The sequence below is a fragment of the Homo sapiens genome, chromosome 19 (assembly GCF_000001405.40).
Source record: "Homo sapiens chromosome 19, GRCh38.p14 Primary Assembly".
Taxonomy (NCBI): domain Eukaryota; kingdom Metazoa; phylum Chordata; class Mammalia; order Primates; family Hominidae; genus Homo; species Homo sapiens.
In genome coordinates, this window is record NC_000019.10 from 29,848,431 (window position 1) to 29,875,900 (window position 27,470).

The 27,470-nt window shown below is 48.6% G+C and overlaps 4 annotated features.

Annotated features, from left to right (window-relative positions):
* Window positions 3,948–4,077: an enhancer, noted in NCBI's record as "active region_14422". NCBI's record gives its function as "activates an Ori minimal core promoter by ATAC-STARR-seq in GM12878 lymphoblastoid cells {active_cell/tissue: GM12878}" and the evidence as "EXISTENCE:reporter gene assay evidence [ECO:0000049][PMID:35858748]".
* Window positions 9,321–10,159: an enhancer, noted in NCBI's record as "H3K4me1 hESC enhancer chr19:30348658-30349496 (GRCh37/hg19 assembly coordinates)". NCBI's record gives its function as "activates a minimal SCP1, AML or CMV promoter by ChIP-STARR-seq in naive H9 embryonic stem cells {active_cell/tissue: H9 hESC(naive)}" and the evidence as "EXISTENCE:reporter gene assay evidence [ECO:0000049][PMID:30033119]".
* Window positions 10,160–10,997: an enhancer, noted in NCBI's record as "H3K4me1 hESC enhancer chr19:30349497-30350334 (GRCh37/hg19 assembly coordinates)". NCBI's record gives its function as "activates a minimal SCP1, AML or CMV promoter by ChIP-STARR-seq in naive H9 embryonic stem cells {active_cell/tissue: H9 hESC(naive)}" and the evidence as "EXISTENCE:reporter gene assay evidence [ECO:0000049][PMID:30033119]".
* Window positions 24,860–25,319: a silencer, noted in NCBI's record as "silent region_10470". NCBI's record gives its function as "represses an Ori minimal core promoter by ATAC-STARR-seq in GM12878 lymphoblastoid cells {active_cell/tissue: GM12878}" and the evidence as "EXISTENCE:reporter gene assay evidence [ECO:0000049][PMID:35858748]".

Here is a 27,470-nt window from a genome sequence, read left to right on the forward strand (position 1 = left end):
CCAGGGAGAGGAAGGGAGGTGCTTGGGCACACACGTAAGGAAGCACTTACTGTCAGGGTCGACCCCACCCCTTATAAAGCCCTGAAAGTGAGGGCTTTCTTAGTTTTTTTGTTTGTTTTTGAGACAGAGTCTTGCTCTGTCACCCAGCCTGGATTGCAGTGGTGTGATCTCGGTTCACTGCAACCTCTGCCTCCAGGGTTCAAGTGATTCTCATGCTTTAGCCTCCGGAGTAGCTGGGATTACAGGCGTGCATCACACCGAGCTAATTTTTGTATTTTTAGTAGAGACCGGGTTTCACCATGTTGGCCAGGCTGGTCTAGAACTCCTGACCTCAGGTGATTCTCCTGCCTCAGCCTCCCAAAGTGCTGGGATAGCAGGCTTGAGCCACCGCACCGGGTCTGTTCTTAAATTTTATACCTTAGGTGCCGCATTGCCTTGCCCTAGGCCCAGCCCTGTACGTTCCGCACAGTTTCACTCTTGGTTATGTACCTAAAGAGACTTCATCAGAGGTCCACAGCGTTGCTTATGACGTAGGTATCCCCCAGAGGGACCTGGACAGGTAGAACTTGGTACATGAAGACAATGACAAGTATTTTTACAGAGGGCAGGGATTCCCTAGCGCTTGGCCTCTGGGAAGGAGTTTGGGGAACTTGGTGAAAGACAGCTGAGAGCAAAATACAAAATGACTTTGTTCCAGCTTCTCAGAAGTGAGACCAGAGATGACATTTGCATCTGCCTTGGAGCGTTTTGTAGATTTCTGAGCCTTTGTCACTGATCCTCCTGCCTTGCCCCCAATAAATGCCTTTGAATTTAGGTAGAAAGAAAGTTGGAAGACGCCCGCAGGGTGTCTAAGAAGGGTTAGGCATATTTTCACTATGCCTATAAGGAAGCAGAGGTCAGATAAGGAGGCAGAAACTGGAGAATTCCAGATCCTGCTCCTCTGTCAAGGCAGAAAGGATTTAGAGGGCACAGCTTGGACTTTGGAGTTTACATATATTCCATTCCCTTTTCTACTCTCTAGAGATGAGAACTTGGGCAGGAAACCCAGCCACAGTGAACTTTGGTGTTCTTCCCAGTGAGATGGGAATAATAATAAGGCCTAACTCAGAATTGGTGTTAGGAGTCAAAGGAGAAAGGATATCTGAAACCACTTATCTTCCTCCCTCCTCTTCTGTCAAACAGCATAGACAAATGGAGATTCCCTGACTTTAAAAACAAAACAAAACATTTTTCAGTCATGGGACAGCAGTCTAGGGGCCTTTAGGAAGAAACTGAGGACCAAAGGATGCAACTGAGTACTGTCAGCTCAAGTGGCAAATGAAGTCATCAGCTCCAGGTAGTTCAAGTCCCAGCCCCACCTGGCTTTGAGGTGAGGTTGTGCTTTGAGCCGGTACCATTTTGGATGTTGCTCAGCTCTGGAATGAGAGGTGGGGTAGGAAGGGTGTGATGGTTAATTTTAGGTGTCAACCTCACTGGGTAGGAGAAGCCCAGAAAGCTGGGGAAACACTGTTTCTGTGTATGCCTGTGAGATTGTTTCTGGAAGAGACTAGCATTAGAATCAAGAGACTGAGTAAAGGAAGTGTGCCCTCACCAATGTGGGCAAGCATCATCCAATCTATTGAGGACCCAGATAGAACAAAAATGCAGAGGAAGGGTGAATTCTCTCTCCTTGAGCTGAGACATCCATCTTTAGTTCCCGGACATCAGACATTGGAGTTCCTGGTTCACAGGCCTTCACGCTCTTTGTTGAAAGAATTTTTTTTTTTTTTTGAGATGGAGCCTCACTCTGTCACCCAAGCCGGAGTGCAGTGGCACGATCTCAGCTCACTGCAACCTCTGCCTCCTGGGTTCAAGCGATCTTCTGCCTCAGCCTCCCCAGTAGCTGGGATTACTGGCACCTGCCACTGCACCCAACTAATTTTTGTATTTTTAGTAGAGACGGGGTTTCACCATATTCGCCAGGCTAGTCTTGAACTCTTGACCTCAGATGATCTGCCCATCACTGCCTCCCAAAGCGCTGGGATTACAGGCATGAGCCACCACACCCAGCCTGTTGAAAGAAATTAAGGAAGACCTAAATAAATGGAGATATACATCTATACCATGTTCATGAATTGGAAGACTTGGTATTGTTAAAATGTCAGTTCTTCCCAAATTGATCTATAGCTTCAGTGCAATGGTGAGAGTTACACCATTGGCTTCCTGGGTTCTCAGGACTTTGGACATAGACTGAATTACCCCATTGTCTTTCCTGGATCTCCAACTCACAGATAGCAGGTCATGGGACTTCTCAGCCTCCATAACTGCATGAGCCAATTCCCATAATAAATCTCCTCTTTTTTTTTTTCTTTTTTTTGAGATGGAGTTTCTCTCTGTTGTCCAGGCTGGAGTGCAGTGGCGCAGTCTCGGCTCACTGCAACCTCTGCCTCCCAGGTTCAAGCAATTCTCCTGCCTCAGCCTCCCGAGTAACTGGGACTATAGGCGTGCGCCACCACGGCCAGCTAATTTTGTATTTTTAGTAGCGATGGGGTTTCACCATGTTGGTCAGGCTGGTCTTGAACTCCTGACCTCAGATGTTCCTCCTGCCTCAGCCTCCCAAAGTGCTGGTATTACAGGTGGGAGCCACCATGCCCGGCCCCATACTACTTTGATTAGTATAGCTTTATAATAAATCTTGAAATCAAGTAGTGAAAGTTCTCCAAATTTGTCTATCTTTTTAAAAAATAGCTTTAGCCATTTTAAATCTTTTGCATGTTCTCTCTCTCTTTTTTTTTTTTTTTTTTTTTTGACAGAACGAAGCTGTAATGCATTCTCATTTAAATTTTAACATCAGCTTGTCATATGCTACCAACAAAGCCTGCTGGGATATAGATTGGGATTGCACTGAAGCTGTAGATCAATTTGGGAAGAGCTACATTTTAAAAATATTGAGTCTTCCAATTCATGAACATGGTATAGATGTATATCTCCACTTATTTAGGTCTTCCTTAATTAATTAATTAATTAACCTTGTTTCTTTTTATGAGATGGAGTATCACTCTGTTGCCCAGGCTAGAGTGCAGTGGCACGATTTGTGCTCACTGCAACCCCCTCCTCCTGGGTTCACACAATTCTCCTGCCTTGGCCTCCTGAGTAGCTGGGATTATAGGTGTGTGCCACCACACCTGGCTAATTTTTGTATTTGTAGTAGAGACGAGGTTTTGCCATATTGACCAGGCTGGTCTCGAACTCCTGACCTCAGGTGATCCGCCCGCCTCAGTCTCCCAAAGTGCTGAGATTACATGCGTGAGCCACTACCCCTGGCCCTTCATTTCTTTAAATGATGTTTTGTATGTTTTGGCATACCAATCATAAACATATTTTGTTAGATTCATCCCTAAGAATTTCACTATTGATTTATTTACTTGTTTATTTTTAGAGTTGCTGTGTCACCCAGGGTGGAGTGCAGTGGCGTGACCATGGTTCCCTGCAGCCTGGAGGCCCTGGGATTCAGTGATCCTCCCACCTCAGCCTCCCCAGTAGCTGAGACTATGGGCACACTCCCTCATGCCTGGCTGATATTTCATTCTTCAAGTGTCATTTTAAATGGTATTGATTTTAAAATTTCAGTTTCTAGTCACTTCTATTTATTTTATTTTTGATACATTCTTTCAGATTTTCCACACAGATTTGACCCTGGGGTTTGGGTATCAGTCACATTTTCCTGTGCCCAAGAGATGGGGAGGATGTTTCTCAAGGGAGGACTTGCACACTTGATGGGGCCTCTTACTCTGCAAGAGCAGGATGAACAGGGGCTAGTGTGGTCTGGTAACTGCGACTCAGGTGGAAGCATGGCTTTCTCAGCTGATGCCTACAAGTGTAGATGTCTCAACTGTAACCAGTGGATTTCCACATCAGAGAGCAACAAGTCTTGTTTCTCATAGTTTCTAGTTCTCTGCTGAGAATAGTTGTCTTTTTATACATATTGATCAGAGTTTCCTTTGTATTCATCTGTGTAGTTATGAGAGCTGCCCTAAAGTTACCATCTGCTAGTTTCATCACCACAGGTCACTTTTTATGTCGTATCCATTGGTTTTCTTTTCTCTGGAGTTTGGGTCTTGTTTTCCTGTTTTCACATGTCTGGTAATTTTGGATTTTATCCTGGATGTTGCCATGACATGTTGCAGAGACTCTGGACTCTTTATACTTTAAAGAGTATTGGTTCTTCCCCCACCCCAGCTTTATTAAGGTATAGTTGATATATAAAAATCATAGATATTTACAACATGATGGGTTTTTAAAAAAATTTTTATTTTTGGTTTGGGGGCACATGTGAAGGTTTGTTACACAGATAAACAGGGTTTATTGTACAACAAATGGGGGTTTATTATACATATTATTACATCACCCAGGTATTAAGCCCAGTACCCAATAGTTATCTTTTTTTGCTCCTCTCCCGCCTCCCATTCTCCCCCTCAGTGTCTGTTGTTTCCTTCTTCTTTGTGTTCATAAGTTCTCATCATTTAGCTCCCAACATGATGTTTCGGTATCTGTATACATTGTAAAATGATTCCACCAAGTTAATCAACATATCTACCACCTCATATGCTTATCGTTTTTTTTGTGTGTGTGTGGTGAGAACGTTTAAGATCTACTGTCATAGCAATTTTTAAATATGAAGAGTATTGATTTTTTTGTTTAAGTAGGCAATTAACTTGGCTAAACTTAACATGTAAACTCTCTCTCCCCTATAGAGGATGACAGTTGAAATCTGAAGTTCATTTAGCCTTAACTGCTGCTTAATGACTTCCTCACTCATACCTGATTCTGGAGTTGGCAAGAGATTTGTGCATTTTATACATGGATTTGGGGACTCCCCTTCTGTGGCTCTTTTTTTTTTTTTGAGATGGAGTCTAGCTCTGTTGCCCAGGCTGGAGTGCAGTGGCATGATCTCGGCTCACTGCAACCTCTGCCTCCTGGGTTCAAGTGATTCTCCTGCCTTGACCTCCTGAGTAGCTGGGATTACAGGTGCCCTCCACCAGGTCCAGCTAATGTTCGTAATTTTAGTAGAGACGGAGTTTCACCATGTTGGCCAGGCTGGTCTTGAACTCCTGACCTCGTGATCCACCCGCCTCGGCCTCCCAAAGTGCTGGGATTACAAGCGTAAGCCACTGCGCATGGCTTTTCTCTCTCTTTTTATTTTTTTTTTTTAGAAATTTCGCCAGTCGTTTTTGTTTTTTGTTTTTAGTTTCTGTAATTACAGTGACCTTTAGTTTTTCAAGCCAGTAAGTTTGTTTGTTTGTTTTTTCTTTTTTGAGATGGAATCTCACTCTGTCACCCAGGCTGGAGTTCAGTGGCTCGATTTCAGCTCACTGTAACCTCCACCTCCCGGGTTCAAGAGATTCTCCTGCCTAAGCCTCCCTGGTAGCTGGGATTGCAAGCACGCGCCATCATGTTCGGCTAATTTTTGTATTTTTAGTAGAGATGGGGTTTCACCATGTTGGCCAGGCTGGTCTCGAACTCCTGAGCTCAAGTGATCCCCCCGCCTCAGCCTCCCAAAGTGCTGGGATTACAGGTGTGAGCCACCGTGCCCAGCGCAATAAGACTTTTCTACCCAAGAATTTCTATCTGAGTCCTGCATGGAGTAGTCCTGAATGGCTCAGATCCATCAGAAGGGAAACTTGCCCAGTGCTGTTCTCTTCTAAGTATTGATTCTCCTGCAGTATCTGCCTTTTTGTTGCTGTCTGGGGACTTCAGTTACTGTTCGGATTTGTGGCTGTTAGCTCCGGAAGGGTTGATCAGATATTAGGTAGTTGACCATGACAAGAGCAGGACCTCTGAGCAACGACGCTGTCAACAGTGCCATGACTCTGTTAGTCCTTGAAACTCAGAAGGAGGAAGAGGGTGGGGAGGAAAGTCTAAACTGGCTGAATTTAAATCTGAAATGACTGAACAAAGCTCAAAGTTTCTGAGAAAACCACCATCTGACTAGATTGACTCTTCGGCCATCGTGTAAAATTTTCAGTTATAGAATGGTAGAGAAAAGTGCATTTTCCCATCTACATCTTGTGGCCTGAAAATATCTTCCCTCCTGCATATAGGAAGGAAAAACCTTGAAAATGGTGGATGTGGGATCGGGGAGAGGCTGGATGAAAAGTAGTTATATCTTCCAGGTACTGAGTTTTCTCATGCATAGAATGGTGGGGTTGAGGGAAGTCTAGAAGATTCCAAAGTCTGTTCTCGCTCGCACACTTACACTAAGTGCTTTTTACGAACTTCTGAGGCCACAAACTTCTGCCCTGACAAGAGTCTCTCCCTGTGAAAAAGGGGTGGAAGTCCAGTGCTGGAGATGCCTTCCAAGGCTGTAGGCGCCCCTCCACCGCTTCTGAGGCCCTGCCTCTCTCAGGTCCCAGGTCTCTGTCAGAGGAGTTTTGGGGCAGAGCCGGAGCTGTTGAAGGGTGGGGCAGCCAGACATTCCCCAGAGCTCTTTCCTGTCCAGATTCGATCAGACCTGTGGCTTTTTCAGGAGAGGACAGTCAGGCCCTTGGGCAGCTGAACCTGATCAGCTTCCCTTACTCTACCTTATTTCTTCCTTTAATATTTTTATTTCTTTTTAGAACTTCAGTTCCTGTCCCTGCTTAGGAGAGGGGAGTTGTCCATTAGACAGAATCTACATCTACCCTAGATTCTTCTATCACTAGTTTTTTTTTTTTCCCAAGTCTAGCTTAGCAGTAAGCTCTAAGGTCCCAGCCTAGCAAGGCTGCTGGGAGAAAGACAGCCTCTTTCCCAGGAATTCCAGCAAAAGTCTCAGGGCTGAGCCTCATTAATCTGTCTTCGGTCATGTGACCATCCCTGAGCCAGTCCCGGAGGCTGGGGAGATGAAGGGCCCTGATTGGCCAGCCCTGGTCATGGCCACCCCTAAAGTCAGGGCCAGAGGTAACTCCATCCCAATCACCTGGACAGAAGGGGGCTTCCCCAAGGATGAGGGCGGGACTGTTACCAAGATAAGGGAGATGCATGCTGGGAGGATGAAATCAACAGACTTCCACAACATAAGTTTTTCTCAAAGTTCCGGATCCAGGATTCACGAGTGTTGCTTGCCCTGTGCCAGGCACTTCCTTTACCTTTTGTATCTAGTTATTTTATCCCAAGAGATCATGTTGTTCCAGACAGGGAACTGAGCTTAGAAAGAGGAAGGGCCTTTCCCAAGCCGATGGCACAGGGTCTGCACTTCCTGCCTGGGAAGCAGGCCTGGGGCTTCCCACGTGGCCTGACCCCTCTCATCTGACACCTGCCCCCCACTCCCTCCCCTCTGCCTGCAAAACTGACATGAGGAGACTGCTTGTGTTTCCAGAAAGAGGGGAATTGGCAATAGCCATGAGTTGAGACGACTTGATAAAATATTTCTTGTTTTCTCGAGTTTACATAGACCAAGTTTTCACTGTTGCTATGGGGTGGGTTGGCAGAGAGATGAAAATAAATCTGTGTAATTTATTTTTTCTCTGAGTGGAGTATATTTCTGCTGGCTTCATACACATGCACACACGCGCGCGCACGTGCACACACACATGCCCGCACATACAGGCTTTCATAAAATACTTAAACCCCTCTAATGCTCTCTGTGGAAGGAATAAATATGTACTGTACTTTCAACTTGTGTTCTCTGAAATACCATATGGTCTGCACTGTGAGCTTAAAATACTCTAGTGAGCGGATGCTTTCATGCAGCAGATAGCCAGGTGGAGCTCTCCCTGCCAATCTTACAACGTTAATTAATCCTTTAAAATAGAGCGTGGAGGGGTCCCTGCGTCAGAAACGGGTGCTGTGTGAGGGAAGTAGCCCGGTGGCCTGCACCGGGGCTGAGCAGAGAGTACAAAGGCGGTGGGAAGGTGGGCTAGGCCGGGAGCACCCCTGCTGCCTGACGGCGCCTTTGATGAGCCCGCTCAGTCACTCAGATACTCACAGTTTGCATTCTGCATAATCAGTCTAACAGGCTGATGGTTTGCATGAATATCTAAGTTTGTCATTGTGGTTAATTTTTCCTCAAAAAGAGGCCCCCTATCTCTCTGGCCCAATGCATATTTATAAAGGGCAGGGAAGTCAGGCAGAGGATGCTGGATGAAGGGGCGGCTCAGGGAGGGGGCCCCGTGGCCGGTCCCTGAAGCCTGGGAGGCCAGGCTCCTGCCAGAGCTGGTGGCTCAGAGAAGGGTGCAGAGCTCCTCAGAGCCTGGAGGGAAGGAACTGCAGGGAGAGGGGACAGCCTGGTTTGCAAGGCCCCATTTGGGCTAGCCTCTTCCCTGCTCCAGGCCTCAGTTTCCTTATCCATACAAGGAGCATGTGGGCCACTTGATCCAGGCCTCAGGGTCCCAAAGGAACTATCCTCTCCAAATGAGGTTACACAGAGTCAGAGAGGGGAGGGAGAGAGGCTCACATCCATTCAACAACTTTATTATTTATTTATTTATCTACTTTTCTTTGAGATGGAGTTTTGCTCTTGTCGCCCAGGCTGGAGTGCAATGGCTCAATCTCGGCTCACTGCAACCTCTGCCTCCCAGGTTCAAGTGATTCCTGCCTCAGCCTCCCGAATAGCTTGTATTACAGGCGCCCGCCACCACGCCCAGCTAATTTTTTGTATTTTTAGTAGAGACGGGGTTTCACTATGTTGGCCAGGCTGGTTCCAAACTCCTGACCTCAAGTGATCCACCCGCCTTGGCCTCCCAAAGTGCTGAGATTACAGGCATGAGCCACCATGCCCTTGTTAAGCTGTTAAGCTTACTTAACAACTTTAGTGGTGTGACTCCTTCCCAGAGCACCTGTGGTGCTCCACGACCAAGTATTTTTATAGGTTAAAAACTCCAGTTATCTTGTAAAAAACGTAATTGCATTATGTTGTATATATTTTGGTGTAAAAAGCATTAAATTGCTCGTTTTAAATAGGCTACGGTTATTTTTGTTTTCTTTTGTATTTTGTTTTTGTGTTTGACACAGGGTCTTGCTCTGTCACCCAGGTTAGAGTGCAGTGGTGCAATCATAGCTCACTGCAGCCTTAACCTCCTGAGCCCAAGCAATCCTCCCACCTCTGCCTCCTGAGTGGTCATGACCACAGGTGTGCACCACAATGCCAGGCTGATTTTTTTTTTTTTTGAGACAGAGTGTTGCTCTGTTGCCCAGGCTAGAGTGCAGTGGCATGATCTCGGCTCACTGCAACCTACGACTCCGTGGTTCAAGCAATTATCGTGCCTCAGTCTCCCGAGTAGCTGGGATTACAGGCATGCACCACACCCAGCTAATTTTTGTATTTTTAGTAGAGACAGGGTTTCACCATGTTGGCCAGGCTGGTGTCAAACTCCTGGCCTCAAGTGATCTGCCTGCCTCGGCCTCCCAAAGTGCTGGGATTACAGGTGTGAACCACTGTTCCGGCCTGAGCCACTGTGCCTGGCCCTGGCTAATTTTTAAATTATTTGTAGAGATAGGGATCTCTCTATGTTGCTCAGGATGGTTTTGATCTCCAGTGCTCAAGTGATTCTCCTGCCTCGACCTCCCAAAGTGCCGGAATTACAGGTGTGAGTTACCGCGCCCAGCCAGCTATGGTTTTTGTAACCTTGTTTTGGCATTTTTTTTCTGACTCGTCAAAGAATATTTCGGCAACTTTGGAGTGGCCAGGCTTCCCTTTCCCATGCGCAGCAGGAAGTCCAGGTGGGAATGGGGAGAGGCTGGGAGATCCCTCAGGTCGGCGGCTTTCAGAGCTCTCCAGGCCACGCCTCTCAGTGGCCAGCAGGTGGCAGTTCTGAGCCTTCCACCTGGCCACCCTCCTTCCTCCACCCCCGGGGTGCCCGTCCCCCCAGTCCACATACCACAGAGTCCCAGGTGGCTGGAGAGAGCTCCTGGCTTCCAGGCCCTGGGCCATTCTGAGAAGCTGGATGAGGCAGCCTAGTGGCCATCCAGCTGCCCCTGCCTGGGACTGCCTGCCTACCCCTTCCCATCCTTGGCTCCATGCTAAAGGAAGGTGGGCTTCCTGGAGGAGCTGACATCTTAAGTGAGACCTGCAGGACAATAAAGGATTTCAGGCAGAGGGAACGGAATATGCCCAAATCCAGAGAATCCAGACCCTGTGCTTTCAGGAACTGGCAGGAGGCTGATGTGGCTAGAATGCAGACTGTTGGGCTTGGGAGAGGGACTAGGGAGGCCAGGTAATGCTTGGCACTCTGGGAGCAGCAGGACCAGGGCAGCCCGAGTCTAGACATTATCTTGAGGGCAGTAAGGAGCCCTCAGCCCATTCTAACCCATCAGAGTTGGCCTCCGGAAGGATCGCCATGGCTGCAAACTGCCTAGCCTCTCATCGCCCCTCACCCGCTGTCACTCACACACCTGGGCCTCCTACCGTGCTGGCCAGGAAAGAGCTGCAAGTCCTCGGGCCCGAGGCTCGGCAGGCAGCCGACCTACCTTGCAGTCCTCAGGAGAAGCTGTCCAGGAACCCCACCCTCCTGAGCTCCCGGGGCTTTGGTGGGGAAGGGAGCCTCCCAGGGTCCCGGAGCACTAAACAAAAAGGAGCTGAAGGTCACCACACTTTGGCCATTTGCAGGGAGCCCTTCCCCACACAGGGGCGGCATGTTCCCTTGTGGCTGCCAGGGAGCCCCCAACACCCCTGGGAAGATGGCAGGTCGAGGGGAGGGGACATGGCCTGAAAACAAGGAAGCAGTCTGCAATGGGGAGATGTGGGGCATGGGGCTGTTTTAGACAGAGGAGGCGGCAGGTGCGCGTATGTAGGTTTGAGGTAGATTTTGCTACCCAGGAAATGGGCTCTTGCCTCTTCCACCTGCCTGTGAACTGGCCCTGGGACCCAGCAGGAGAGGCTCCCCTGAGTGACTTGTGACATTCTTTTTTTTTTTTTTTTTTGAGATAAGTCTCATTCTGTTGCCCAGGCTGGAGTGCAGTGGTGCGATCTCAGCTCACTGCAATCTCCATGTCCTGGGTTCAAGCAATTCTCCTGCTTCAGCCTCCCGAGTAGCTAGGATTACAGATTACAGATGTGTGCCACCAAGCCTGGCTAATTTTTGTATTTTTAGTAGAGATAGGGTTTCACCATGTTGGCCAGGCTGGTCTCGAACTCCTGACCCCAGGCGATTCGCCTGCATCGGCCTCCCAAAGTGCTGGGATTACAGGGGTAAGCCACCTTCCCCGGCCAACACATGGTGTTCTGAAACAGCACAGCCTAGTGTAACCTCAATTGGTAATTAATTAATTACACTCCCCAGGTGTCTCCTGGAGTCCTTCCTGTAGGGGAGGGGAGGCTGAGGCTGCAGAGGCCCCATTCAGAGGGCTGTTGAATGACTCATGGCTGTTGAGAAGTAATGTCCACTAAATAACATCTGATTCTGTATTTAACATTTAAATATTTAATTAACTAAATGGGCCAAATATTTAATCAAGCACCATCAAAGCCACTGTGAGCCTCCACTTTGCATAATTCCAAGGCAGGCCAGCTTCCCTCCGAGTCCCCATCCTCATCCTGACAGTGCTATCAGTGCCCCTGCCTGGTGGGAAACATACCCATTCTGGTACCCAATTCTTTTTTTTTCAGAGACAAAATCTCACTATATTGCCCAGGCTGGTTTCAATTTGCCCAGGCTGGTTTCAAACTCCTGCACTCAGGCAATCCGCCTGCCTCGGTCTCCCAAAGCACTGGGATTACAGGTGTGAGTCACTGTACCCATCCATCCGATACCACATTCCGAGACTCAGGGCATCTCATGTCCTAGGCAAAGTTGCTTGTTTGCTTTTGTTTTGTTTTGTTTGTTTTTGAGTCAGGGTCTCTCTCTGCTGCCTAGGCTGGATTGCAGTGGTGCGATCTCGGTCCATTGCAACCTCTGCGTCCTGGGCTCAAGCGATTCTCCTGCCTCAGCCTCCTGAGTAGCTGGGATTACAGGCGCGCACCACCATGCCTGGCTAATTTTTGTATTTTTAGTAGAGATGGGGTTTCACCATGTTGCCCAGGCTGGTCTCCAACTTCTGGCCTCAAGTGATCCGCCTGCCTCGGCCTCCCAAAGTGCTGGGATTACAGGTGTGACCAACCGCACCCCACCACAGTTGTTTGATTAGACTCCAGGTTTGCTATGCTGGAGATAGAGTTCCCCCCATGGCCACCCTTTCCTCTCCTCTTTCTCTTTCCTCCCCAAGTAGACACAATTGAGACTGGCTGCTGGGTTCCCCTGGAGGCAGTGTGGTACCAGTCTTCCTGCCTCTGATGACAGATTCAGGCCTTGACAACAGGGGTGAACATGTGACCCAGTCTGGACCAATCAGAATTCTTCTCCAGGATTTTTGTAACTGGAGTTAAAGGCGGGAAGACTTTTTTGAGCTGGACTTGCTCTGTCACCCAGGCTGGAATGCAGTGGCACAATCATGGCTCACCGCAGCGTCAACCTCCTGGGCTCCAGTGATCCTCTTGCCTCAGCCTCCTGAGTAGCTGGGACTATAGGCAAGCACCACTGTGCCCGGCTAATTTTTTTTATACAGACGGGATCTTACTATATTCCCAGAGATGGTCCCATGGTGTCCTAATCTCTGCATCCAGCTGTTCCTGAAGATGGGCCTACCCTGATCTTTCTATGGGAGGGCAGGTGAACCAATAAGTGCCCTATGTCTTTAAGCCAGTGGAAATCAGTTTTCTATCACTTGTATCCAAAAGTGCCCTGACCAATACCTACTCCACCATTATAGTCATGTAGCTTATGTGCAAATAAAATGACTTTTAATTATTTAACTGTAAATAATACTTGTGTTAGATTAGTGCAAAATCTTTGTGCATTTACTTTTCAGCCAAAACCACAATTACTTTTGCACCAATCTAATATCTAATAGCTCATAGCTCATATTCCTACCAGTAAGTTTTTTTGTTTTTGTTTTTGTTTTTTTTTTTTTTTTGGAGACAGAGTCTTGCTCTGTCGTCTAGGCTGGAGTGCAGTGGCGCCATCTCAGCTCACTGCAACCTCCTCCTCCCGGGTTCAAGCAATTCTCCTGCCTCAGTCTCCTGAGTAGCTGGGACTACAGGTGCGCGCCACCACACCCAGCTAATTTTTGTATTTTTAGTAGAGATAGGATTTCACCATATTGGCCAGGCTGCTCTCAAACTCCTGACCTCGTGATCTGCCCGCCTCGGCCTCCAAAAGTACTGAGATTACTGGCGTGAGCCACCACGCCTGGCAGCAAGGTATGTTTAGGTTTCCTTGAATATGTCCTCGGCTCTTCAGAATGAAGGGAGGATCTGAGCCTGGAAGGATGGGTCCCTCTGACACCTGCTATCCTGCTGATGAGGTCAGCGTGCTTCTGGAACTGCTGAATCCTGGGGCTCTGGTGACGTCACCATCTCTCTCTCCCTCTTCCTCTCCCCCCACCATGCCTCACCACACCCCACCTCTTCCTGGGCTTTGCTTTTCATTATATTGGCTTCGTTATCCTGCAAGTGTTCTTCCAGTTGTAGCCCCAGCAGCTCCAGGCTTACACTGTCCTTGCGAGAAATCCCTGTGGAAGAGGGCAGTTTTTTTTCCCAATAGAACCACAAAGGTGGCTAGGCGCGGTGGCTCACGCCTGTAATCCCAGCACTTTGGGAGGCTGAGGCGTGTGGATCATCTGAGATCAGGAGTTCGAGACCAGCCTGGCCAACATGGTGAAACCCCATCTCTACTAGAAATACAAAATTAGCTGGGCGTGGTGGTAGGTGCCTGTAATCCCAGCTACTTGGGAGTCTGAGGCAGGAGAATCGCTTGAACCCGGGAGGCGGAGGTTGCAGTGAGCTGAGATCGCGCCATTGCACTCCAGCCTGGGCAACAAGAGTGAAACTCCATCTCAAAACAAAAAACAAAAAACAAAAACAAAAAAACCCACAAAGGTCCCAGGAAAGGCTCTGATTGGATAGACTTGGGTTATGTGCCCATTCCTGAACAAATCACCGTGGCCACAGGGAGAATACATGCATTGGCTCAGCTGAGCAACGTGCCAGGCAGAGGGGGAAATGGAGGAAGGAGCACTGAGAGAGGGGTGGTTCCCTAGGAAAAGTTCCTGTGGTGCTGTTGACCACAGGAAGAGTGAGGGGAGCTGGCCAGTCCAGTGACACCCTGCCTAGGAAGCTTCTCTACCCTGGAGACTTCACCCTGCAGAGGGTGCCCTCTGGGTGCTAGAAATGGAGGTGGGACTGCTGCAGGAGGGGAGGAAGCATGAGGAATGTGTGTGTTCCACAGTCTAGAGAAGCACCAGGGCTATCACTGCTTATCCTTCCCCTTGTGGCAGAGAGTGGGTGGGAGGGTATTTCTATGCAGGCAGTTATATAGTGTGGACTGAAGGGGACAGGGAGAAAGCACCAAGAAAGCCCTTACTGTATACAGGACAGTCACTCTGAGAGACTTGGGGCACAATTACTTACTGAGCTGCCCAGGGAATTCCCTGCATTTTGGCCATTACCATCCAAGACTTCGTGAATCCATTTTCTTGCTGGTGGGAGCATAAATTGTTACAACCAGCCTTCACGGGGGGCAACGTGGCAACATTGATTACATTTAAAAATGCACAGACTCCCAGCACTTTGAGAGGCCGAGATGGGCAGATCACTGAGGTCAGGAGTTTGAGACCAGCCTGGTCAACATGAGGAAATCCTGTCTCTACTAAAGATACAAAAATTAGCCAGGTGTGGTGGCATGCACCTGTAATCCCAGCTATTCAGGAGGCTGAAGCAGGAGAATCACTTTAACTTGGGAGGTGGAGGTTGCAGCGAGCCGAGATTGCACCACTGCACTCCAGCCTGGGCAACAGAGTGAGATTCTGGCTCAAAAAAAATAGTAATAATAGGCCAGGTACAGTGGCTCATGCCTGTAATCCCAGCACTTTGGGAGGCTGAGGCAGGCGGATCACGAGGTCAAGATATCGAGACCATCCTGGCCAACATGGTGAAACACCGTCTCTACTAAAAATACAAAAATTAGCCAGGCGTGATGGCACACGCCTGTAATCCCAGCTACTCGGGAGGCTGAAGCAGCAGAATCGCTTGAATCCGGGAGGCAGAGGTTGCAGTGAGCTGAGATCGCACCACTGCACTCTAGCCTGGCAACAGAGAGACTCCGTCTCAAAAAAAAAATATATATATATATAGTAATAATAAAAATAAAAAATAAATTAAAAAAAGAAGCTCCCTGGCAATTCTAATGTGGCCCAGACCCTCTGGTCCAGATTTCCAGCCCCTGCAGAATTCCTGGTCTCCTCTTGGCTCCACCCCAGCACACACCAAACCTGGGGTTCGGGGTGCGGCCCTTTCTCCTTGATTTCCCCTCGAAAGTGTCCTTCCCCTCCTGCTGGGTGCTGGGTGAGGCCAGCTCACGGTGGAGTGCTGGGGAAGGAGTAGCTCACCCTCACAACCGCCCATGCAGGAGCCCCTCTCTGTCCTCCCCCTGGAAAAGGGAACTTGGCATTCTGTGTAGCACTGCTGGCCTCAGGAAACCTGGTGGGCTGCATGCCCGCATGGCCTGAGAGGACACTGCCAGCACTCAGCAGAAGGGTCACGTTGGCCAGCTCACTCCCTGCCAGCCCCTGAAGTCGAAGCTGCCTGAAACTGCGGTGCTGGTTTGCCACTGCCAGGAGATGCCAGCAGCCTAATTTACATGGCTGTCCAGGGTACCCCCAGCCATGCGACAGCCAGGAAAACTGCACCCCATCTTAGAAAACTCAGGAACCTGAGGGAGGAAGTCCAAACTGAAAAACCTCAATTAGCCAGGCGTGGTGGCTTGTGTCTGTAATCCTAGCTACTCAGAGGCTGAGGCAGGAAAATTGCTTGAACTCGGGAGATGGAGGTTGCAGTGAGCCGAATCATGACACTGCACTCCAGCCTGGGCGACAGAGCGAGACTCCATCTCAAAAAAAAAAAAAGAAGAAGAAGAAAAAGAAGAAGAGGAAGAAGAGGAAGAGGAAAAGAAGAAGGAGGAGAAGGAGAAGGAGAAGAAGAAGGAGAAGATGATGAGGAGGAGGAAGAAAACAAAAAACAATACAAAACAAAACAAAACCTGTTCCAAACAGCAGGCACTGCTGAGGAAGGAAAAGAACTTTCACAAAAAAGTAAGACAGAGATGAACTGGTAGTTGCATGGTCGGGGAGGACTATCAGGAACCAAAAGAATCAAACGACTTCTCTGTTTAAAAATTCAACTGATAAACCCAGGAAGGGAATGATCACTGCTGAGAAATAAGTTGATACCATGAGAGTTCAGGTGGAAGGAAATCTCACCGCAATGCAAAACCAGAAAAAGATTTGGAGGACAAACCCTGATGATCTAACATTCAAAAAAGCAAAAGAGAAGGAAAAAAAAGATATAAAGGGAAAACGATAATCAAATAATTAATCAAAGAGCATTTTCTTCCTTTCTTTTTTTTTTTCAGAGATGGGGTCTTGCTATGTTGTTCAGGCTTGAGTTCCATGACTATTAACATGTGTGATTGTAGCATACTACAGCGTTGAAACTCCTGGGCTCAAGCAATCCTCCTGCCTCAGCTTCCCGAGTAGCTGGGTCCGTAAGCACACACCACTGTACCCAGCTCCTAATTAAAGAACATTTTCTAAGCTGGCGAAAGCCTTGATTAAAAGGGCCGATAGAGTTCCAGGAAGGATTAATTGAAAAGACATATACTTAAAACAGACCCTGGTGTAATTCCTGAATTATGAACTTCCAGACAGAAAGTAAGGTTACTTACAAAGGAAAGAAAAATCACGTTGATGTTGGCTTTGTCATCTGCCACCCTGGAAGTCAGGAGACGAATGGAACAGTGACTTCAGGGACAAGGACAGTGACCCAGGAATCCTATGTCCACAAGAGATATCATGCATACATCAGGGCAATGGCAAGAGATTTTTCTTTTTATTTTTATTTGTTTTGAGACAGGGTCTCACTCTGTCACTCAGGCTGGAGTGCCTGGTGTGATCACGGCTCACTGCAGCCTAGACTGGCTGGGCTTGAGCAATCCTCCCACCTTAGCCTCCCAAGTAGCTGGGAACACAGGTATGTGCCACTGTGCCCCACTCATTATTTTAATTTTTTTTTTTTTTTTGTAAAGACGGGTCTCACTGTGTTGCCAAAGCTGGAAGAGATTTTAAAGTATGCAAAGACTTATATCCTCTCTGGGGAAAATGCTAAATAAATACTACAGCCAAAAACAGATACACTGGGCCAGGCACGGTGGCTCACATCTGTAATCCCAGCACTTTGGGAAGCTGAGGCAGGCGGATCACTTGAGGTCAGGAGTTTGAGACCAGCCTGGCTGACATGGTGAAATCCCATCTCTACTAAAAATACAAAAATTGGCCTAGTGGCAGGTGCCTTTAATCCCAGCTACTTGGGAGGCTGAGACAGGAGAATCGCTTGAACCCTGGAGGTGGAGATTGCAATGAGCCGAGATCTCGCCATTACACTCCAGCCTGGGCAATATATCCAGACTCCATCTCAAAAAAAAAAAAAAAATAAGTCCACAAACCCTTTGATGATCGTCCCTTCAAGATGTGGATCATGGACCTTAATTTCCCTCCCTGGTAGTGTGGGACAGACCTAGTGACCCACTTCTAACCAAGAGAATCTAAGAGAGTGACAGGATGTGACTGAGGTTAAAGCATAAACGGTACGAGGAGTTCCTCTGTCTCTCATCACTTGATGTGAGGGAAGCTGTGTTGTGAACAGCCCCATAGATGCCCTTGGGACAAGGAACAGAAGTCTCCTGCCAACAGCCACATGAATGAGCTTCAAAGAGGATCCTGCAGCCTCAGCCCAGCCTCAGAGGGCTGCAGCCTTGGCCGACACCCGGTTACAGCCTCCTGAGAAACCTTGAGCTGGGACCATTTAGCAGAGCTGCTCCTGGACCTGACCCGTAGAAACTGTCAGATAACAAACATCTCTTGTTGTAAACTGCTAAGTTTTGGGGTAATTTGTTACCCTGCCATAGATAAATAATACAATCTGTAAAGAAACACAAATTTCTATGTTAACAGTGGAGAGGTACCCATTAAAGGAAATGAAAAGTATTGTGGAATTTCTGAATTAATACGGGTAAAGAATGATGAAAAACCTGAGCCAACCATCAAAGAAAAGTAAATGGGAAAGGGAAAATAACAATAATTTAGTAAGCATAAACCAGAAAAATGTAATAAAATCAGTAAACACACAATAAGATGGAAGAGGTTAAACCCATTATATATCATCTATCATTATAAATTATGAATTTTCCTATCAAATTGGAAAAAAAGAAAATTCAAGTAGATGCTGTTTATATGAGGCACATTTAAAATAAAGACACAATGAAAAGTTGAAAATTAATTGTTGAGCAAGGAGTTAATGGAAAAATGCAGACAAAAAAAGAAGCATAGTGGCAGTATGAAGATGAATCAACATGGAATCCAAGGGGCGAGGTCCTGAGCAGAGAAGGAGATTATGAAACATGGAAGTGCAATTCACAGAGAAACTAAAGTCTTCAGAAACATGTATGTACCAAATAATGTGGTAGCCAAACACATAAAGCAAAACTCCCAGGAATACACAGAGAACATGGTAAAAATATAATTATAATAGAAGGTATTTTAATACAAAGGACTAATTATCTGAGTATCTATTATTCAAGTCCCTGTAATTATAAGACTGCTTTGAAAAACAAAAGTATTCCTGGTACAATTACAGCAGCAACAATAATGATAATAAGAAATAACAAACGTTAAGCTCCTATGATGCGCCAGCCAAGGTTCTAAGTACTTTACATGTACTAACCCTTTTGGTCCTTACCACAAATTATATGTCATGATTTATTACTATCTGTTAGCCAAGATGACTATAATAATTTCTTCCATCCTTGTATATACAAACTTTTGCAATGTGACTTTATCAATTCCTCTTTTAAGAGGCAGAATGTATTTTTTTTTTTTTTTGAGATGGTGTCTCACTCTATTGCCCAGGCTGGAGTGCAGTGATGTGATCTCAGCTCACTGCAACCTCTGCCTCCCAGGTTGGAGTGATTCTCCTGCCTTAGCCTCCCAAGTAGCTGTGACTACAGGTGCACACCACACCACCATGCCCGGCTAATTTTTTTTGTATTTTTAGTAGAGATGGGTTTTTGCCGAGTTGGCCAGGCTGGTCTCCAACTCCTGATCTCAGGTGATCCATCCACCTCAGCCTCCCTAAGTGCTGTGGCGTGAGCCACTGTACCCGGCCTATTTTTATTTCTTTTTTTGAGATGGGGTCTCATTCTGTCACCCAGGTTGAAGTGCAGTGGCTCAGTCTCGGCTCACTGCAACTTCCTCCTCCCAGGCTCAAGTGGTCCTCCCACCTCAGCCTCTCAGTAGTGGGGACTACAGGTGCGAACCACCAAGCCTACCTAATTTTTCATATTTTTGTAAGAGACAGGGTTTCGCCATGTTACCCAAGCTGGTCTCAAACTCCTGAACTCAGGCAATCCAGCCCCCTCAGCCTCCCAAAGAGAATCTATTTTTATATCCATGAATCTGGTCTGGCTTTGCAACTTGCTTTGACAATGGGATGTTGTGGAAATTACTTTTTTTTTACTTGTGAGTTAGCCCTCAAGACACTGCACAGCTTCCACTCTTGGTCTCTTGGAACACTTCCACCATCGTGTGAAGAAGCCTGGGCTGGGCTGCTGAAGACCTGTAGCCAAACACCCATCATCAGACATGTGGGTGAGGCATCTTAGAACATCTGGTCCCAGCTGAGTTGCTGGATAACTATAGCTGCATTAGTAACCAAGGACAAGATCAGCAGAAGAGCCATCCAGCTGAGCCCACACCAAACTGCCACACACAGAATTGTGAGAAAACAAAATGGTTTTTGTTTAAAATTTTTGAACTGGTTTCTTTTGCAGAACTAGACAACTGAGAAACCATTCCCATTTTGCAAATGAGGAAATAGAAGCACAGGAAGGTTGAGTAATTTGCCCAAATTTTCACAGCTATGATTATGATTCTTAGTTAAGTCGTGACTTGAATCCAGTTACTAATGAATTGAGCTTTTATAAAATTATTATTCACTCAACCATTCCTCCCAGTTCACTGTTAGCATTTATCCTGGACAAATGCATCAGCATTTTTGATGGTCAGCCTCTCAATAATCGTAGAAATACCCCATAGTACAATATAATTCAAGTCAATTACAAAGTGAAACTACACATTTTGAAAAAAAAAAAAAAAAGGATTTTATGAAAGAGCAATATTGGGTGAGGTGCTGGTGGCTCATACCTGTAATCCCAACACTTTGAAAGGCCAAGGTGGGAGGATTGCTTGAGGCCACGAGTTCAAGACCAGCGTGGGCAACATAGTGAGAGCTTGTCTCAGTACATAAATAAAAATAAATGGTTTGATTATTGTGACAGAAGTTGTCAACTGTTACCCAATATTCATTCTGTTTTCACTGACATGAACCCAGTTTTGCCTAGGGTGGTAATGTACTCAGCTAAAAATCCTCTCCTCCCAGACTCTTCTGCAGCTAGGGGTAGTCGTGTGATGGTGTTTCGGCCAACGTAACATGAAAAATTCTACTTGTGGGGCTTCTGTGAAAGTTATTGCTTTCCCGATAAATAAGGGGCAGACTAAGGTGGCTCAAACCTTTTTGCCTTGAGTCATGCCCCCTTTGAACTGGAATGTGGATGAGATTCCTAGAGGTGCAGCTGCTACCTTGAGAAAGCAAATAGGAAACCTTCAGGAGGGTGAAGCGGGGGCCAGAAGGGCCACATCTGTGATGTTTTTCGTGTGCAATGGCACCAGCCCATCTGTTTGCCTTTGGATTTTTTTTGTCATATAAGAAAAATAAGCTCCTAGCTTGTTAAAGTTGCTAAATTGGGTTTCTGTCAAATGCAACCCTGACTGATACAAATAGCAAAGGATTAAGAGAGGCCCTTAGGACGATAGCTGAAGCCATCAATTACCTTTTGCAAAACACAGTAGTATTGCAGAAGTCAGATGTGAAGTGAAGGGTGTCTTGTCATGATATCACACAATTTTATTAGAAAAATTATACTTTCAAAAAGTCAACATTAGATTTATTATTTCTAAGCAAACTTTTTATTCAAGTATAACATACCTATGGGAAAGTACACTGGATTTATATTTGTCTTAAAAATGACATTGTTGCAATTATAACCTAAATTTCAGTAAATATTAGATAAAGTAAATGTCTTTTTTGTACTACTTGGTTTCATGTCTCGGTATAACATTATGCATGAAATTTTGCCCTCCCCCAAGTGGATTCACGCTAAAGTGTTTTTTCTTTTTCCTCTAATACAATTATTTTTGGATAATGATGATGACTTGTATCTCTTTCAGAAAGTAGTAGATTTCTGTAGAAAGGCCTCTGTAGGAGGCCGGGCGCAGTGGCTCACACCTGTAATGCCAGCACTTTGGTGGCCAAGGCGGGAGGATCTCAGGGAATCAAGACCAAAAAAAAAAAAAAAAAATTCTACCTGTTATCTTCTCTGATCATATCCTAGTGAAAACAGAAAGCAACAATTAAAAAAAAAATCCCTAACGCGGTGAAACCCCGTCTCTACTAAAAACACACAAAAAATTAGCCGGACATGGTGGCGGGTGCCTATAGCCCCAGCTACTCGGGAGGCTGAGGCAGGAAACTGGCATGAACCCGGGAGGTGGAGCTTGCAGTGAGCCGAGATCGCACTATTATTGCACTCCAGCCTGGGCGACAGAGGGAGACTCCGTCTCGGGGGAAAAAAAAAAAAATCCAACCCCCACCCCCACCCCCCGGCCCTCCCACTGCCCCTGCCTGCTCCCCTCAAGAATCATTGAGGAAAACAAACCCGTAATACTTACTTGGAAATTCAACCATTTCTTTTTTTCTTTTTTTTTTTTTTTTTTTTTGAGACAGAGTCTCGCTCTGTCACCCAGGCTGGAGTGCAGTGGCGCAATCTCGGCTCACTGCAACCTCCACCTCCTGGGTTCAAGCGATTCCCCTGCCTCAGTCTCCCGAGTAGCTGGGACTACAGGCGTCCGCCACCACGCCCAGCTAATTTTTTGTATTTTTAGTAGAGACGGGGTTTCACTGTGCTAGCCAGGATGGTCTCGTTCTGACCTCGTGATCTGCCCGTCTCGGCCTCCCAAAGTGTTGGGATTACAGGCATGAGCCACTGCGCCCAGCCTCAACTATTTCTTGACATGTGGATCAAAAAAGGAATTAAGGAGAAGAATTTTTTTTTTTCTGAGACAGAGTCTTACTCTGTGGCTCAGTCTGGAGTGCAGTGGCACCATCTCGGCTCACTGCAACCTCTGCCTCCTGGGATCAAGCAATTCTCTTGTCTCAGCCTCCCCAGTAGCTGGGATTACAGGCATCTGCCACCACGCCCGGCTAATTTTTGTATTTTTAGTAGAGATGGGGTTTCACCATGTTGGCCAGGCTGGTCTTGAGCTCCTGACCTCACGTGATCCACCCACCTAGGCCTCCCAAAATGCTGGAATTACAGATGTGAGCCACCATGCTTGGCCTCACAGACATTTTTAATTGTAATTAAAATTATAGTTACTTTGCAAAACATGTAACAATTTGTCATCCCACCAGCAATGACCAGGATAGGTGTCCACTTCCCCACAACCTCATCCACCTTAAATGCTAGTGTTCTTTTGAATTTTTGTCATAGTCACAGGTACTGTTCTGGCAGGAATGTTCCTGACACTTTGAGAGGCTGAGGATCTTTGCACATGCTTGTAGGATGTCTGGAGCTCCTCTTCTGTGAATTGCCTCCTCCTATCTTGGCCCATTTTTCCACGGTGTTGTTTGCCTTTTTGTTATCAGCTTGTAGAAGGCCTTTGTTTATTAAGGTCAAGGAGGCCCAGGAAGTGGAGCCAGCCTTGTGAGCAGGGAGGGTTCTTTCTGGGGCAAGGGGCAGATCAGAAGATCTGATAGAGAGCCCCCCCCCCTCCAACTACGTGCTCACAGTGTGTTCAGGACTTACAGACCACAGAGCAGGAATGTGCAGGGCTCAGGTCAGCATTAGGGTCAGGTTCTTAGGAAAAGAAAGAGCAAAAACAATGAAACACAATACAAAGTAAAGAACAAACACAGTGAGAAAATATAACATAAAATAAAATAAAGGCAGTAAGGCCCTGGGCCTGAGACCCTGAGAAAAAGCTGGTAGGTCTTAGTCCACACCCTGCCCCGTGTTTCCTTCCTTTTAAATGTCTGCAGCAAGCATTCATATTCCCGTTTAATGAAGGATCCGGCCAAACACGGTAGCTCATGCCTGTAATCCCAGCACTTTGAGAGGCCGAGGCAGGCGCATTGCTTGTGGCCAGGAGTTCGAGACCAGCCTGGCCAACATGGCGAAATCCCGTCTGTACTGCAAATATAAAAATTAAGCTTGAACCTGGGAGGCGGAGGTTGCAGTGAGCCGAGATGGCGCCACTGCACTCCAGCCTGGGCAACAGAGTGAGACTCTGTCTTAAAAAAAAAAAAAAAATTAGCCACGCGTGATATAAAAATTAGCTGGGCATGGTGGCGCGCGCCTGTAATCCCAGCTACTACTCAGGAGGCTGAGGCATGAGAATCGCTTGAACCCGGGAGGTGGAGGTTGCAGGGAGCCGAGATTACACCACTGCACTCCCTCCTGGGCGACATAGTGAGACCCTGTCTCAAAACAAAAACAAAAACAAAACAAACAAACAAAAATCCCCGTGACCCAGCCCAGAGAGGAATGACAGCCAGGAATGGAACTCGAGGTTTCATTCCACACCACAACACTGTCTTTTAATTTTTTATTGTTTTACTTCTCTTCATTGCATTTTGTTTTATTTCATTGTTTTTACCCTTTCTAAGGACTTGTGAATAAATGCGTGGAACTGCAATGTGCATACAGTAGGCGCCCAAGCGGGGGCAGTGCAGCCCCTGCTCCCCGCCCGCGGGTGCCTTCGCTGATGAGCCTGAGGCGGGCAGCCCAGCCCTCCCGCCCGTAGGCAGCCTGACTCCAGGCCAAGGGGCAGCGGAGAGCTTCGGGGCTGCGCGCAGGAGCGCACGGCCAGGTGGGCTTTTTATGGCGCGGGCCGAGGAGGTCATTCTTTTTAGTGGGCTGTACAGCGTCCACCGCGAGGCACTTTATTTTTAGCTTCTTGAAGGCTACGATGGAGCCGCCTCCTCCGCTTTCCCAGTGCTTGCCTCCACCTCCCCCTTGACGCCCGGGTGCCCGCGGCTGCTCCTGGCTGCAGTGTCCCGATCTGTGTAGTGCAGGGTCCCTCTAGAGGTCCCCGGGCACCCTCAACTCTCAGCCCCCGTCCCCTGGCGCAGAATATTCCAGCTCCCGGGTCATGGCCCTCCACCCCCACTCGAACCTCCATCCTGTTCTGCGCCCGTCCTGAATTGCTCTTTAAAATAGTAATAATAATTTCCACTTTGATTTTGGATTCGTTGGGGGGGGGGGGGTTACACGTGCAGATTTGTTACACGGGTGTACTGTGAGGTTTGGGGTACGAATGATCCCGTTACCTAGATAGTGAGCATGGAACCCAGTAGGTGGTTTTTCAGCCCTTGCTTCGCCCACACCCCGTGGTAGTCCCCAGTGTCCGCTGGTCCATCTTTGTGCCCCCGTGCAATGCGTTGCCCTTGACGGGCCAGGTGATCTCCCCGAGGTGGGAGCCTGGCCACCCTCCCCCATTCTGCAGCCTTCACCTCCAACACCCAGCCAGGGCCAGCTCAGAGGCGCCCTGACTTGCCCACGGGGCCTGCACCCATGCTCGCCCAAACCCCTCGCATCCAGCACTGCAGGCCGGGTTCTGAGCGTCGTCGGGCGTGGTGGAGCTCGGCGGGGCCCAGCGCGGGCCTTGCCGCGGGGACACAGGGCAGGGTCGCGCTCTGCCCTCTGCCGCCACTCCAGGTCAGCATCCTCAGGGCTCGCGTGGGTGACGGCCCGTCTCGTAGCGGGGGTGAGCTGGGCTGGTCCGAGGGGTCTCCGCGGCCTCCCCAGCCACAGTCCCCGCCCGCTCCGCGCCCTCCCCGCGGGGTCGATGGCTGGGGGACCCGGCTCCGGCCCAAGCCAATCAGTCCTTCCTGAGCAGCGTGAGGTGGCTGCCCGAGGGCGGGCGGGGTGCTGCTCTGGCGGGCTCCTGGAGGCCTGGGTGGCGCAGCCCGGGGGAGCGGAGGGAGGAGGCGGCCCTGAGACCGAGCCGCGCGGCGGGTGGGCTCCCCTGACCCCGCTCCGACCCGGCCCCGCGCCCTCCCGGCCGCTCGATCGCAAAGCGTCTGCTGCCATCTGGTGGCGGCGCCCGGGCATCTGCGGAGCGGGGAAGCCTGGCCAGGCTGGTGCTCAGACCCCCACCCAGCGCCCCCGCGCCCCCGCGCCCGCGCCGCTCTCCCGGGAAGTCCCCAACAGCCTCTGGCTTTGCTCGGCTTCTCCCAGCAGAAACCGAGCCCCACGTCTCCTGGGAGCCAGCGCGCGGTGGCCGGTGCCGTGCCCAGGGGGTGACGTGCGTCCCTCTCTAACTCGGTTTTCTCATCTCTAAAATGGGGTTCATGGAAGTGCGTGCCTTGTGGAGGCTTCGCAAGGCTCCCAGGTTCCCTTAGCTCAGAAATCAGGCCTTACCCCTGAGGCGCGAGGCTGCGGGCACGAGGCTGCGATTTGGCGGCAGCCGTATTTGCACACTGTCACAGAATTAACCTCAGAGCTGGCTGGCTGCGGGTCCTGGAGGGGGTGCAGAAAAGGGGAGGGCGGGCCAGGCTCCCACCAGGAGCACCTGCAGATCGCCCTGATCGTCAAGAGCAAGGCATGACCCCTGCAGAACGGGCTGTAGGCTCGGGGCGAGGGGGGAGGGGGAGGGGACTGTCACCGGGGGGGGGGCCAGAATCCTCTGAGCCTGGGGACAGGGGACTGAGCGAGGCAGGTAGAGCCCCAGGCCCAGGCAAGAGCTCGAAGAGTATTAGCTTTTGCTGTTGTAAACCCCATGGGGTGGTCTGCAAACTGCTTCCCATACTCGCTCCGTCATGCCCTGGCTCGGCTCTGACATCACTGGTGTTGGCCATATCGCGGATTTTCTGTTTCCCCCTCTGTAAACTGGGGATGCCAATGCCAGCCCCCACTCCCGGATGAGGTACCTGGTGTACAGATGGCTCGGCCACTCTGCTGACCGTGCCCCCGACATCATTGTTCCCCGGGGTTTTCCCTCTAAGCTCCAAGAGGTTAGTTAATTCTCTGCCAGTGTGCAGAGACTCCCACAGCTGCCCCCAAACCTTGAGGTCTCCCCCCATATCCTCCTGCCTTATAGGCAAGGCCTGTTTCCTGAGCCAAGGGAAGGCGGGTGTCTTTCCTGGGAACCCCCTCCGCACGATCACAGACTAGAGAGTCCAAACCACAGATCATGTTTTCTTTCCAAAAATAGGAGCCCCACTGAGGCAGAAACTTCATTCTTTTAATAAGATGATGGTATGTTTAAGGAAAATAAATATTTCTTTTAAAAAAGAAAAGGCGATTTGGATCCACTCACATGCCAAGCACTGTCCCGGAGACCCAGGCTTGGTGCATGGCTGCGGAGGATTCCAGCAGGCATGCAACTTTAATTACTTCTCAGTGTACCACAGAGGTGGCCTGCAGCACCGGGTGTGACAGCAAGGTATGCCACCAGTAAGGGGGATGTCTCAGCAGCTGCCAGCACTCTGCCTGTGAAAACGCCAGCTCCAATTCAAAGGTATCAAATATTTGCCTAGCTGTTCAACATTTCTTCAAATAATATACTCACGACTAATTCATATCTGGACTCGACGTCTTCATCTCTCCAGGCCTCCCTCCTGGATTAGCGTGTCTTGTCTATTCCGGGAGAAAGTTGTCCTACATTCTAAAAATAGAGCTGGGAGTCTGGACATGGGCATGCACAGTCAGGGGAGGCTTTATTTATTTATCTTAAGGGTTGTCCTCTGAAGACAGCTGCAGCTGAGCCTGGGACTCACTCATCAAATAGCCATTCGCGGCTGGGCGCAGTGGCTCATGCCTAAAATCCCAACACTTTGGGAGACCGAGGTGGGTGGATTACCTGAGGTCAGGAGTTCCAGACCAGCCTGGGCAACATGGTGAAACCCCATCTCTACTAAAAATACAATAATTAGCCGGGCGTGGTGGTGGGCGCCTGTAATCCCAGATACTCAGGAGACTGAGGCAGGGGAATTGCTTGAACCCAGGGGGCAGAGGTTGCAGTGAGCCGAGATTGCACCACTAAACTCCAGCCTGGGTGAAACAGTGAGACTATCTCAAAAACAACAACAACAAAACAAAAACAAACAAATAAAAAAACAACAACAGAAAACAAACAGCCATTCATAGGTACTCAGCAGAGGGCAGGGCCTTCTAAGAAGTCTGTGCTGGCTGCTGCCTTCCAAAAGAGGCCGTGCTCCACTCCAGGGGATGCTCCGTGACCTCTGAAGTGAGGACACCCTCTCAAATCAGAGGCACGGGCCTCTCTCCTCCATAGAGGGGTTCTTCCGTTCC